General features: G+C 33.9%; 1 protein-coding gene across 3 annotated transcripts in view; it reads right to left on the bottom strand.

Moving 5' to 3' along the window:
- The window catches only part of CHIC1 (cysteine rich hydrophobic domain 1), a 123,964-nt gene continuing 117,375 nt past the window's right edge, over positions 8,026-14,614 (bottom strand). For 2 of the 3 annotated variants that reach the window (NM_001039840.4, XM_017029583.2), the window contains one exon: positions 8,026-14,182. In NM_001039840.4, the coding sequence (NP_001034929.2) occupies positions 14,132-14,182 (51 nt within the window). In that variant the 3' untranslated portion in view covers positions 8,026-14,131. The remainder of the gene's footprint in view (positions 14,183-14,614) is intronic. The other variant, NM_001300884.1, reaches the window with a different exon arrangement.

The raw sequence follows: 14,614 nt of genomic DNA, 5'->3' as shown, positions 1-14,614 counted from the left end.
CCTTGACCAGTGGTTTGTATTTCTCCTTGAAGAGGTCCTTCACATCCATTTTAAGTTGTATTCCTAGATATTTTATTCTCCTTGTAGCAATTGTGAATGGGAGTTCACACGATTTGACTCTCTATTATTGGTGTATAGAAATGCTGTGACTTTTGCACATTGATTTTGTATTCTGAGACTTTGCTGAAGTTGCTTATCAGCTTAAAGAGTTTTTTGGCCGAGACGATGGGGTTTCTAAATACACAATCATGTCATCTGCAAACAGAGGCAATTTGACTTCCTCTCTTCCTATTTGAATACCTTTATTTTTTTCTCTTGCCTGATTGCCCTGGCCAGAACTTCCAATACTATACTGAGTAGGAGTGGTGAGAGAGGGCATCCTTGTCTTGTGCCAATTTTCAAAGGGAATGCTTCCAGCTTTTGCCCATTCAGTATGATATTGCCTGTGGGTTTGTCATAGATAGCTCTTATTATTTTGAGATACGTTCCATCAATACCTAGTTTATTGAGAGTTTTTAGCATGAAGCCTGTTGAATTTTATCACAGACCTTTTCTGCATCTATTGAGATAATCATGTGGTTTTTGTCATTGGTTCTTTTGATGTGATGGATTACATTTATTGATTTGCATATGTTGAACCAGCCTTGCATCCCAGGGATGAAGCCGACTTGATCATGGTGGATAAGCTTTTTGATGTGCTGCTGTATTTGGTTGCATTTTATTGAGGATTTTCGCAGCAATGTTCATCATGAATATTGGCCTGAAATTTCCTTTTTTTTTTTTTTTGTTATGTCTGCCAGGTTTTGGTATCAAAATGATGCAGGCTTCCCTCATAAAATAAATTAGGGAGGAATCCCTCTTTTTCTGTTGTTTGGAATAGTTTCAGAAGGAATGGTACCAGCTCCTCTTTGTACCTCTGGTGGAATTCAGGTATGAATCTGGCCCTGGGCTTTTTTTGGTTGGTAGGCTATTAATTACTACCTCAATTTTGGAACTTATTATTGGTCCTTTCAGGGATTCGACTTCTTCCTGGTTTAGTCCTGATAGGGTGAATGTGTCCAGGAATTTATCCATTTCTTCTAGGTCTTCTAGTTTATTCACATAGAGGTGTTTATAGTATTCTCTGATGGTAGTTTGTATTTCTGTGGGATCAGTGGTGATATCCCCTTTATCATTTTTTATTGTGTGTATTTGATTCTTCTCTTTTTTCTTCTTCATTAGTTTGGACAGTGGTCTAACTATTTTGTTAATCTTTTCAAAAAACCAGCTGCTGGATTCATTGATTTTTTGAAGGATTTTTTGTGTCTCTATCTCCTTCAGTTCTGCTCTGATCTTAGTTATTTCTTGTCTTCTGCTAGCTTTTGAATTTTTTGCTCTTGCTTCTCTAGTCCTTTTAATTGTGATGTTAGGGTGTCAATTTTCTTTCTCTCCTTTTTTCTCTTGTGGGCATTTAGTGCTATACATTTTCCTCTAAACAGTGCTTTAGTGGTGTCCCAGAGATTCTGGTACATTGTGTCTTTATTTTCATTGGTTTCAAAGAACTTATTTATTTCTGCTTTAATTTAGTTACTTACGCAGTAGTCATTCAGGATCAGGTTGTTCAGTTTCCATGTAGTTGTACTGTTTTAAGTGAGTTTCTTAATCCTAAATTCTAATTTGATTGCACTGTGGTCCGAAAGATTTTTTTTTATGATTTTCATTCTTTTGCATTTGCTGAGGAGTGTTTTACTTCCAATTATGTGGTCAATTTTAGAAGAAGTGCCATGACATGCTGAGAATAATGTATATTCTGTTGATTTGGGGTGGAGAGTTCTGTAGATGTCTATTAGTTCTCCTTGGCCAGAGCTGAGTTCAAGTCTTGAATATCCTTGTTAATTTTCTGTCTCATTGATCTGTGTAATATTGACAGTGGGGGGTTAAAGTCTCCCAATATCATTATTTGTGAGTCTAAGTCTCTTTTTAGGTCTCTAAGAACTTGCTTTATAAATCTGAGTGCTCCTGTATTGGGTACATATTTAGGATAGTTAGCTCTTCTTATTGCATTGATCCCTTTAGCATTATGTAATGCGCTTCTTTGTCTTCTTTGATCTTTGTTGATTTACAGTCTGTTTTATCAGTGACTAGGATTGTAACCCCTCCTTTTTTTTTGCTTTCCATTTGCTTGGTAAATATTCCTCCATCCCTTTATTTTAAGCCTATGTGTCTTTCCACGTGAGATGGGTCTTCTGAATACAGCACAGCAATTGGTCTTGACTCTTTATCTAATTTGCCAGTCTGTGTCTTTTAATTGGGGCATTTAGCCCATTTATATTTAAGGTTAGTATTGTTATGTGTGTATTTGGCAATTTTATTCCTACATTTTTTTTTTGCCTGCACCCAGCCCCAATTAGCAGCTCTAAGTAATGTGTCTGTTAATTCCTGCTCTTATTTCTCCTCATCTATCCAGCAGAAGACATGCCCAGTTTCAGAATGTATCTCCCACACCTTTCCTAAATCAATTTTGCAATACAGACTTCATACTCATTCAACCAATAATCAATTTATAGAAACCAATATGAAGGAAATGATCAGATTGAGGCAAAGATTTCTGTATAAAGATGCTCATGAAGTCATTATTCATTGTCGTAAAATACTGAAAACTGACGAAATACCAAATAATGGGAAATAATGAAATTATAGTATATTCACACATTGTGCTGCTATATAACCATAATTTAGTTTTGAAGAATAGATATATGGAAAAATGTTAAAATGTAAAAACAGTATTCAATAGACAATATAATTAACTACCAGTTACATATTTACTGGTAGTTAATAATATTAACTACCAGTATTTACTGGTATATACTAACATATAATTTAATGGTATATACTAATATATAATTAACTACCAGTTATATATGTACTGGTAGTTAATATATAATTAACTACCAATATTCAATAGACAATGTAGTTAACTACCATTTGACCCAGCAATCCCATTACTATTAAAGGAACTATTACTAGTAAAGGAATAGACCCAGCAATCCCATTACATTTGAAGGAACTATTACTATTAAAGGACTAGAAATCATTCTATTACAAAAATACATGCACATGTATGATTATTACAGCACTATTCACAATAGCAAAGACATGGAACCAACCCGAATGCCCATCAATGATAGACTGGATTAAGAAATATGGTGCATATACACCATAGAATAGTATGCAGCCATATAAAAGAATGAGATCATGTCCTTTGCAGGGACATGGACGAAGCTGGAAGCCATCCTCCTCAGCAAACGAACACAGGAACAGAAAACCAAACACATGTTCTCACTCATAAGAGCTGAACAAGAACACACGGACACAGGGAGGGGAATAACACACACCAGGGCCTGTCGGGGCAGGGAGGGAGGGAGAGCATCAGGATAAATAGCTAATGCATACCGGGCTTCATACCTAGGTGATGGGTTGACAGGTGCAGCAAACCACCATGGTACACATTTACCTATGTAACAAACCTGCACGTTCTGCACCTGGAACATAAAATAAAAATTTTAAAAAGTACTATATGCATATACATAAGTAATACAGTGCAATTTTAAAACATTAAAATGGCAGTAGATGGTTGGGTTAATGATATTAATTTTCTTCTTCATAATTGCTATTAGAAAATGTATTATTATAATAAAGAAAAAATTCTGTTAACAGCCATATCTCTCATTCATCAGACACTAATACAGGCCTTATGGAAAAAAAAAAACCCTAATTTAGTCCTGGTTGCAGTGTCTAAACTTAATGAGTTAAGCCTATTTTTGAAATAAGAAATTTTCATTTAGATTAATGCCAATTTGGTTCAATGTAATGTAAGAAAAAAATCCCAATCAGTAGTCTTATCCACATAAGAAAATAAAAGGCAGGTTTTATAGATTCCCACCAAGAGTTTTTTTAACCATGTTAATATCGCCTTGGGCAATATCACCCTTGGGAGATAACAAAGCCAATGCTGCTTTGGGTGGCTGACCAAACTTTTGCTGAAAAGATATGAAGTAAAAAAACGGTTCTAAAATAATGTGTTGGTCTTCCCAGCTTGTGGCTATGCTTCACTAAAAGGAGTCTGTGATGTCACTATTCTATTTGAAAGCTTAGCAAGTTTCATAAACAGCATCCATTCATCATCATACACACACTTTCAAAGGCATAACGATTTCAAATACCCCAATGTTCTAAGAATCATTTCATGGAAACTCAATGTCAGAATTAGATGAGACTTTAGAGATTGTCTCTAAGGGATCTCAGGGATCATGAAATCCAGTGCCCACAATCACCAGATAACAACAATGAATGAAGCAGGTCATTTTCAAAATGCTTCCTTTTCACATACATACACAGCAGTCTCTTCATTTCCATCTCCCTCAATTTTTGTAAATAATATATGTAGCTATCATGGTCTGTATTTTTTTGATATTGAAAGGAACATGGGTTTAAGAAATATTTTGCTTTCCTTTTAACTGAATCATAAGAAAACTTGGATTTCAGAAAGATAAGAGGGAATGGTGGTGACCATGGCAAAACAGAAAATAAATCTTCCATCTAAAAGGGACAGGCTGTTACTCAGCTCTAGCTAATTGTCCATATGTGAAATTCAAAGAAAGCCAGAAATCTGGATTTCTATATGAAGACTTTTAAGTTTGTTATGATGTGTAAAAGAAATTCTGTATGTCAAAAACACATGTCTGAGGACTGGATACAGCTCAGCTTACAACCTTGATCTAGCTCAACCTCCTACCTTGGGTATGACAGACAAAATTAGGCTCACTGAGTGTACTAAGTTTTCGCTAGAGGTAACCTAGGTGACCACGGATTTTAACTCAAATTCCTAGTAATTATAACTGGAGCATTCTACTATCCCCCAGAGAATTTCCTACATTTATGTAAGTGAAGTATCTTATGAAGCACTAAGTATTTAATAATAGATGTAATGTCATGTGGCTTCTGCCCTCAATGTAAAGTTGAATGTAAAAGTATTTCCCACATAGCATATTCTACTTCACATCTAAGAAGTCATCAATAAAAGTATGCTTTTTTGCCCCATCCATATAATAAAGCTTTGAAAAAAAATTTAAATAATTATGAAACTTTTATATAAGTTTAAGTGTGTTATCATCTCTGCTTTAACATTTTGAAATTTATAATCTTTTTGAAATATTCGGTAAAATTACCAAATATATTGGGAAATATTAATGTTTGTCTTGTATATGTTGAATTTGCAAAAATTAGGCATAACCTTAAAAAATCTATTATTGCATGAAATCAGCTTGAGTAGTAACTGAAGTAGAAGATATTAACACTTGAATTTCTTACACAGTCTGAAGAAGTGTCAAAACGTTTGCCAAGTAGCTTCACATTTCCACATCCCTGCACTAAAAATTTATGCTCAATAAGGTGGAACTATACTTATACTTAAATTTTACAGTTTATAGGTAGCTATGCAGGGTAAATGCAAAGTCATTTAGAAATAACTTCCTACTTAGCCAAATGCCAAACGCTGGGAACAACACAGGTCTCCAAACCCAATATACAAGCAAAGCTCATGTTACTGTGCTTCATTTTGTTGTGCTCTGCAGATATTGTGGATTTTACAAATTGAAGATTTGTGGAAACTCTGCATTGAGTAAGTCTATTGGCACCATTTTTTTCGAACAGCATGTGCTCACATCATGTCTCTGTCACATTTTGTTAATTCTTAAAATATTTCAAACTTTTTCATTATTAAAATCTGTTATGGTGATTTATGATCAATGATCTTTGATATTACTATCGTAATTGTTTTGGGGGACCATGGACTGCACTCATGTAAGATTGCAAACTTAATAAATGTTGTGTTTTGACTGCCCCACTGATGTGCTGTTTCCCCAGCTCTCTTCCTCCTCAGGCCTCCCTATTCCCTGAGACAAAATAATATTGAAATTAGGCCGGCTAATAACCCTAAAATAGCCTCCCAGTGTTCAAGTGAAAAAAAGAGTTGCATGTTTTTCACTTTAAATCAAAAGCTTGAAATGATTAAGTTTAGCAAGGAAGGCATGTCAAAAGCTGAGAGAAGGTGAAAGCTAGGCCTCTTTCACGAGTTAGCAAATTGTAAATGCAAAGAAAAATGCCTTAAAGGAAATATAAAGTGCTATTCCAGTGAACACATGAATGATAAGAAAGCAATACAGCCTTATTGCAGATATGGAGAAAGTTTTAGTTGTCTGGATAGAAGATCAAAGATCCAACTAGCCACAACACACCCTCAAGCCAAAGCTTAATCCAGAGCTAGGCCCTAATTCTCTTCAATTCTATGAAGGCAGACAGAGGTGAGAAAGGAGCAGAAGAAAAGTTTGAAGCCAGCAGAGATTGGTTCATAAAGTTGAAGGAAAGAAGTTTTCTCTATAAAAGTGCAAGGTGAAGTAACAAGTTATCCAGAAGAGTTAGCTAAGATCATAGATGAAGTTGGCTACACTAAATAACATATTTTCAATGTAGGCAAAACAGCCTTATATTGAAAGACGACACCATCTAAGACTTTCATAGCTAGAGAGGGGAAGTCAACGCCTGGCTTCAAAGCTTCAAAGGACATGCTGACTCTCTTGTTAGGGGCTAAGCCAATGCTCGTTTATCATTCCAAAAATCCCAGGACCTTTAAGAATTATGCTAAATCTTCTCGGCCTGTGTCCTACAAATAGAATAACAAAGCCCGGATGACAGCATGTCTGTTTACAGCATGGCTTACTATTTTAAGCCCACTATTGAGACCTACTGTTCAGAATAAAAAAGATTCCTTTTAAAATATTACTGCTCATTGACAATGCACTTAGTCACCCAAGCTCCGATGGAGATGTACAAGAAAATTAATGTTGTTTTCATGACTGCTAATACAATATCGATTTGGCAATCCACGGATCAACAAGTAACTCAACTTTCAAGTCTTTTTAAGAAATACATTTTGTAAGGCTATAGCTGCCATAGATAGTGATTCCTCTGATCGATCTCTGGGCAATGTAAATTGGAAATCTACTGGAAAGGATTTACTGTTCTAGGTGCCATTAAAAACATCTGTGATTCATGGAAGGTCAAAATATCAATGTTAACAGGAGTTTGGAAGACATTGATTCCAACCCCTCAAGGATGACTTTGAGTGATTCAACACTTCAGTGGAGGAAGTAACGGCAGGTGTGGTAAAAACAGCAAGAGGATTAGAAGTAGAGCCTGAAGATGTGACTGAATTGCTGCAATTTCATGATAAGGCTTGAATGGATGCTCATCTTACAGATTAGCAAAAAAGTGGTTTCTTGAGATGGAATCTACTCCTGGTGAAAATGCTGTGAATACTGTTGAAATGACAACAAATGATTTAGAATATTACATAAACTTAGTTGATAAGTAGTAGCTAGGTCTGAGGGGACTGACTCCAATTTTGAAAGTTCTGTGGGTAAAATGCTATCAATCAGTATTGCATGCTGCAGAGAAATCTCTTGTGAAAGGAAGAATCAAGCAATATGGCAAACTTCACTGTCTTAGTTTAGGAGATTGCAAAAGCCACCCTAACCTTCAGCAATGACCTGCCCCATCAGTCAGCAGCCATCAACACTGAAGCAAGACCCCCCACAAACAAAAATATTATGACTCATGGAAGGCTCAGATGATCACTAGTATTTTTTTAGCAATACAATATTTTAAATTAAGATATGTACATTTTTTAAGAAATAATGTTATTGCATACTTAATAGACTACATTATAGTGTAAACACAAATTTTATATGCACTGGGAAACCCCAAAATTTGTGTGACTTATTTTGGTTGTCTGGAACTGAATTCACACTTCTCTGAGGCATGTGTTTATAGCATAAAATACTTACAGGATTGAACGTTAACACTAGTATATGTGGAAAAAGGCCAGATATAAAATGCAATTTTTAAAAGGAAGCCTAAATTAATTGCCTTATAATGATGGACATATAGGGAAGGGAAGAAAGGAAGATGCATAAAAAAAACACAGAATTCAATTCATTAACATAGATTTACACTTTATTTTAAATTTGCATCCTGAGATAATAAAATTTTATCTGACAAGTGAACAATGACAGAAGCAGCAGTGAAAGTTTCGGAGAGGCAGGTATCCTTCATTTTGGCACAGCTGTATATAGATTGAGTTTTTCCAGGGAAGTCATTCCTGGACTCAAGGGAGAAAAAATGAATTCATTCCACAGGCTATGTAACAATGCAAGATGCATGAAAGTTCTTAGTTTGGATGAACATATCCGCTATTATTCTTTTCTGGTAAAGCTGTCCCAACAGGAATCCTCTGACAAAAAGTTGAAATCCTAGGCTTCTCCACCAGATATTTTTATCAATGCCCACTCTCTAGTTACCTGGATATCCTGTTCTTGCAGCCAGATTCATATTTGTATGTGGTTAGTCCAAGGAGGGCAAATTCGCTCGTAGATTATATACTTTCAAACACTTGTTACTTGTTTCAAAGTCCAGGCATTAAAACAATTTTACACTATTTGCGTACTAGAAAAAATGGAAAATAAAAAGTCGAGATAAAAACAAAGAAATAAAAGAACATTTGAGAAATTATTGCCTTGATTCATCATGTTGAATTTATACACAGAACTACTTTAAGAGTCAGAAATTGATATTTAGTCCAATGCTAGAATATGACATTATAACATTTTCCACATTTGTAATCCTATATGTGTGTGTATGTATGAGCAACATGTACACACCTAAATAAATTAGGCCAGTGATATTCTAAAACAGAAAAAAAACTGAAGGCAAATTCTAACCTGAAGTTATATAGCCTAATATAGCCAAAACACACAAACACACACATTTCATTATTTAGAGACTAGGTAAGCAATCTGTGGAGGGGGTCAAATAATCTTAGTTCCTTTATAAAAGTGGTTCCCAACATTTTCACCATAAGAATCCCTTCATTATTCTTTTCCCATGTTCCCAAGTATTTAATAAGTTGCACATAATAGGATTTCTTATTTTATTATTAATCAAAAACATACTGCCATTCACAGCTTTTGAGAGAATATAGGCAAAATGAATGGAAATTCAATGTCTTAATTGACTTGTGAAGCAGGAATATTATGGGTAAATGTATAATTTCTAATATACTTTTTGAAATATTACAAAAAGCTCAAGGATACCCTCCACTGCTATCATCTGCTGAAGTTGGGAATCACTGATTTACATCCACCTGCTTTTCCTCCCTAAGTATGTATTAACATAATACAATTACCCACGTTTAACACATAGGAGATTAATAACAAAATTTACTATTAAAACAATAGACCAAGTGCAATAGTCATTCTGTAGGACCTGACTGAAAAAGAAAACATAGCATGGATTTAAAGAAATCTATTTAGAAATTATATAATTATGATATCCAGTATATCTTTCAGTCAACTTCAAAGCACACTAATATATGAAAATATCCTCAATTCCCCTGTGAGGTAGGTCCAGATTATTGTCCCCACTTCGACAATGAGGACGTGAGGTACAGAGGAATTAAGCAGCAGAGCCAATAATTAAACCAGAAGTGACTTGTATTTGAGTCCCATACCACTTTCCTTTCCACCTAATTTTATCAATTTGTTCCAACAGATCTTTTTGAGGGTATGGAATTTGATTAGACACTAAAGTAAATGTTGGATAGGATATGAAATCTTTACATAAATGCCAAAGTGGGTCCTCCAATATTTCCATTGTTGTTACAGCTAAAATTCTTGCCTGAATACCAACTGCATAGACAGATTCTACACAGGCAAAGGACACAGACCTCAGTGCTCAGTTCCTAGGAAAACTACATTTACTCTTAGCATCACCAAGGAACTAAGGTCTAGCAAGCATCAGGTTCTTGGAGTCTGTGTGATAATTAACACGTCAGCCAGTCGGCAAATCAAACTTTTACTGCATGCAAGGCACTGTGAGAGTTTCCACCAAGGACAGTAGATCTGAGAATAATCATTCTGAGATTCTATAGAGTAAAAATGTCCTAAGAATTCCTTGAATCACAGAATGTTAAGTGATCTCTAATTTTTTGTCCAGCTCTAGGTTCCACCTCATCATTTTACAGAAGAGACAGACATGCAATTAAGATGACCTGCCTGGAGCCCACAATATTAGATCATTTCCTCATATAGTATGAATTTGACAAAGTTCACAGAAAATGGAACATACTCACAGGGTGCCATCAAAACAAAAAGGCTGGCTCAGAATCAGGTAAGAAAAATTTGGGGCAAGATAAGATCATTCATTTTTACATACAGATATATATCAATTGTTTTAGTCCACATACTACATGAACAGGTATTAATAAAACCTATTCATTTTTATGGAAAATTTCCCAATTGTTTGCTATTTAAAGGAACCCAAATAATTTGACAGTTGTTGCAAAATATTTTTAAAGTATACTTTTATAGGCATGAGAATCTAATTTCAATAAATTTGAGCACTTATAATCAAATTAGCAAAAAGTATTTCTACTATGTGAAACTGCTCCAGTTAATCAGGTGAATATAATTTCTATATCCTCCTAGGTCAATATAGTACATTTTAATACAATATTGTTTGGGAGCTTTATGTTCAAGTAGTGAGGTTTTATTTTTTTAAATGGCAGCTTATTTGTAAACAAAATAAAAGTGCTAATGATCTTTTAAAGCTTTCATACATTTGTTCAAAGGCTTACACGTTTTTAAACTTTATTCAAATTTCATCAAAAATGGTAGATAAAACAGTTTGATTGCTCAGATATTAGTGTTTACAGGCCATAATAATATGAATAGTATGTACATTAAATACTTAAATGGGTTTTGGTGGGGCTTTAATCAAAGACAACTGTCCTTCCAGAACTAAATTAAATTACATGTTTACTAGCATTAGAATTATACTGTTTTTTTAAGTGACTGATAGTCCGGTTCTGTAATATTTTGTCACTAATATATCATGATTGGGGAAAAGGAAGGAAAGAAGCTTTACATAATAAATAAAAGATAATACACTAGTAAAGTATTCTTAGACCTAGTTGAAAAGGATGATTTCTAATCTAATCATCTACCAATTCATTTATTATGCTTCCTTACACGTAATGTGTTATCTTTGTTCTAAAAAGACAAGGCACTTCTCCATCTTCTTCTAAAGTTTTACTACAGTGGTCTCTTTCCTAAATTAGCATTAGGAGGGAACAAAGAGTGGAGACATATCTGGGATGGAGTTAATAAATCTGTAAATAACACTTGCCCATATTAGTTATTAGGAATAAACATGTTATTGGCTTTTAGGACAAGCTTAAAAATAGCCAGTTGGACAAATTTATGAAGCCAGAATCTTGGGCCAAATGAGAAACATTGGAACATTAATTTTAAAAAACAATTTTAGCTTGTAATCTTAAAGCCTTGTGAGATTTATATACTTTGGCAAATACATGTTTTGCTCTGGAAACTATCACAAGTTTCATAAAGGAATATTATGTAACAAAGAAATTCAAAATTACTTTCTTCAGTCTAAAAACAACTTTCACAAAAGTATGTTACTAACCTAATGGAAAATTACAAGTATGTTCTATCCTAAGCATAACAGAAAAAAGGCTCCATGGGGGAGGAATTAATCACCAGTGTGCTGTGTCATTTTAGCATTCACTGCAACCAATTTCACTGAAAACAAAGCAACCCCGCCCAAACATTACAAAATACTCAATTGCTAATCAGCCCCCTGCAAAGGAAAACAGTTTGAAAAAGTAGTCATACAAGAGAGGAAAAAAATTGGTATTTTTTTGGGTAGTTGAAGAAACTAAGATGAGTCAACCAGCATAGCGAACAATAAAATAATAAACTCGAGTGATTAGAATAGGCTTTAAAATTAAGTTTACACATGCTGACAAGTGGTTTTTGTGACAAATGCTACTGTAACTTGTATTATACTGTGTCATTTCCAGATATACTGTATTCCCATTCTCAATAATTGTTTCATGGAAACAATTCACCACTTCATGCTGTTCTTTGAGCAAAACCAAGTGTGATTTATACATGGCAGAAAAAGTTCCTATGACCATCATATGATCAAATTCTAAGGTTATAGAAAAAAATAAGATTTCTAAGGATCAACACTTAAAAGCAATTTTCTATCAGTGAAAATGAGATATTTTGTATTATGCTGAAAATCGATTTTGGTATTAAAATATCACAGTTTGAAGCATAAATTTGATAACATTAGCTGGAACATAAACCTCAGATACAATTTTTCCCGACCTTAGCTACAAAACAAGACATTTGGTATACATTTTCAGAGGCTTCTACCTTGTCTATAAAAATACACCTTCAATTTTGCAGCAGGCAAACACATAATATTTGCAGGCATACACATTACTAAAGGTTAGAGATTTGGGGTGACTGAGTGGCACAGAGGTAATGGGGCACAGAGGAAGGTGGAAAAGTGTTTGTGCAAACAATTATAATCACATATAAAATAGTGTCTTCTTTTTCCTCTCTTTTTTAAACTGGTCAAGGACTGTGGATTTCAAATTAGGCATAAATTTTAAGAGTGGCTTAAAAAGGCTTGACCTTCTATGAAGAAATGATTGTTCACTTCACTGAGATGAATCTTGCCTAAAAGGTTTACTAAAAGCAGTAAGAGTAAGATGACAAAATATTACTGAGCCCTAGACACTTTTATTTTTAGCACTATGAATTACAAATAATGCCTACAAACAGGCATACATTTGCAGTTGAATTAATGTGATATAAAGCTTTCATTATACTGAATTTTCAAATTCTAGTTGTGTGGTGCTAGCAATCATTTTAATTGTGAAGAAAAATAGAGAAATATGGACCAAATAAATGTTACATATGTGCTGAATTTATAAACTAAAATACTTTTGTCTAAACACTTGTCTTTCCTCATTAATGTTTTATAAAGGATCATCAAAAACAGAATTGAGAATTTTTTTTCAATTATGAATCAGCTGCTATATACTCTTTAGCTACAGCTTCTCAAATAGTTCTCTCTCTTTCTCAAACTAGAATATCAGAACTGCAGAAAGGTGTTAGTGGCTTTCAAGAGGGTCTAGATACCTTCTGAAGATGTCTGAAATCTCAAAATACTCCTTAAAAGTCATAATTGTGTGTATTTTCAAAGGAAGAAAAGGCTAATAAATGCAGGATAGTGAGACTGTGAAATGTGTCAGATGTCAAATAGTTTTTTTGTGGGAAGGAGTAGACAACAAAATGGAAATTATTAAACGAAATGGAAAAATAAAGGTCATGGTTTCAGGTGCAATACAGAATATCTGAGATAATAATTTCAATTTTAGTCCACTTGTTACAAAGGGCAACCTTGCCCTACACCTGAAATTCTTAACATACTCATTATGGCCTTGCCATAAAACAGCATGTTAGCAGTTTCTACATTCAAAGGGATGCTTGCAAACTTCATTCATATTAAAATCTATGTAAAATTGTTGGCAATACAATAAGAGTAATGTTACATTATGTAAACCATGGCATACCACATTTTACATTATGCAAAGAGGCAATATTTACAAGTCTTTAGGAGTTTAAATATTTTATCCACTAACATAAGTGATAAAGCAAAGTGCAGGACAAAACCAGTGCCATTAATTGCATGTCCTTTAAAAGCATGTCCTTTAAAAGCAGAGTAAAACCATTTCTAAAAGCTACCAAAAGCTTATTTAAGTTTGTCCAGTAAGGGATTACAGAGCATCAAGTAGCCTAGAAAAATGATGCGAGTTTAGAAACAATGAGTATGAAAATTATAAGGCAGCATGCTCAGAACAAGTTTTTGTTTTTTAAACACCAACACTGATGATTTATCTTTAATGGCAACTATCTATATATGTATATGCACACACGCATGTGTGTGTATTTAAAATTGAGAGTGCAAAACACAAGCCTCATTGAAAGACAAAAAAGATGTGCAAATTTTCTTCATAAACCAACACAAAAGAGCGAGAAGAATATTCTACCATTATAAAGAATAAGTTGAACACAGCAAAGGAGACCATCTTCATTCCAAATCTACAAGGCACTAAGGGTAGGAAATGACAGGTAACACAGAAGTGACTGGATAAAACTCCTCAGTCAGGTCGGAATATGGGATATTTTGGTAAGAATTCTATTAGTATTACCTGCAAAATAAAAACAAGAATATATTTACAAAATATTTTTCATTTAATATAACTTATAAATAACCCAGAAAGTCTATAATCATTTTTCATAGGACAATATTTCAATCCTGAACCATATAAAGTAAGTGAAATACATGAAAAAAATATGTAAAGAACTTAAACCACAAGTTGTTATTAGATTGGCAATTTAAAAATTAAGCTGGCAAACAAAACTACTTATTGTAGCTAACAGATTTTACTATCTGATTTACAATAACTATTTGTCTAGGTTAACAGGAGCAAACTCCATTAAATTATATTATGTTTTTCCCCCACACCCCTATCTCTTTGTTAGCAAAGTAGAGATTAAAAAAATGCTATACAGATTAAAAAATGCCTTTATATTAGATTTATATATTTTTCAATTAAAGAAACTGATATTAGTTGGAGATT

The sequence above is a fragment of the Homo sapiens genome, chromosome X (assembly GCF_000001405.40).
Source record: "Homo sapiens chromosome X, GRCh38.p14 Primary Assembly".
Taxonomy (NCBI): Eukaryota; Metazoa; Chordata; class Mammalia; order Primates; family Hominidae; genus Homo; species Homo sapiens.
Note: the sequence above shows the minus strand (reverse complement) of the source record. Positions and strands in the feature narration are given on the sequence as shown.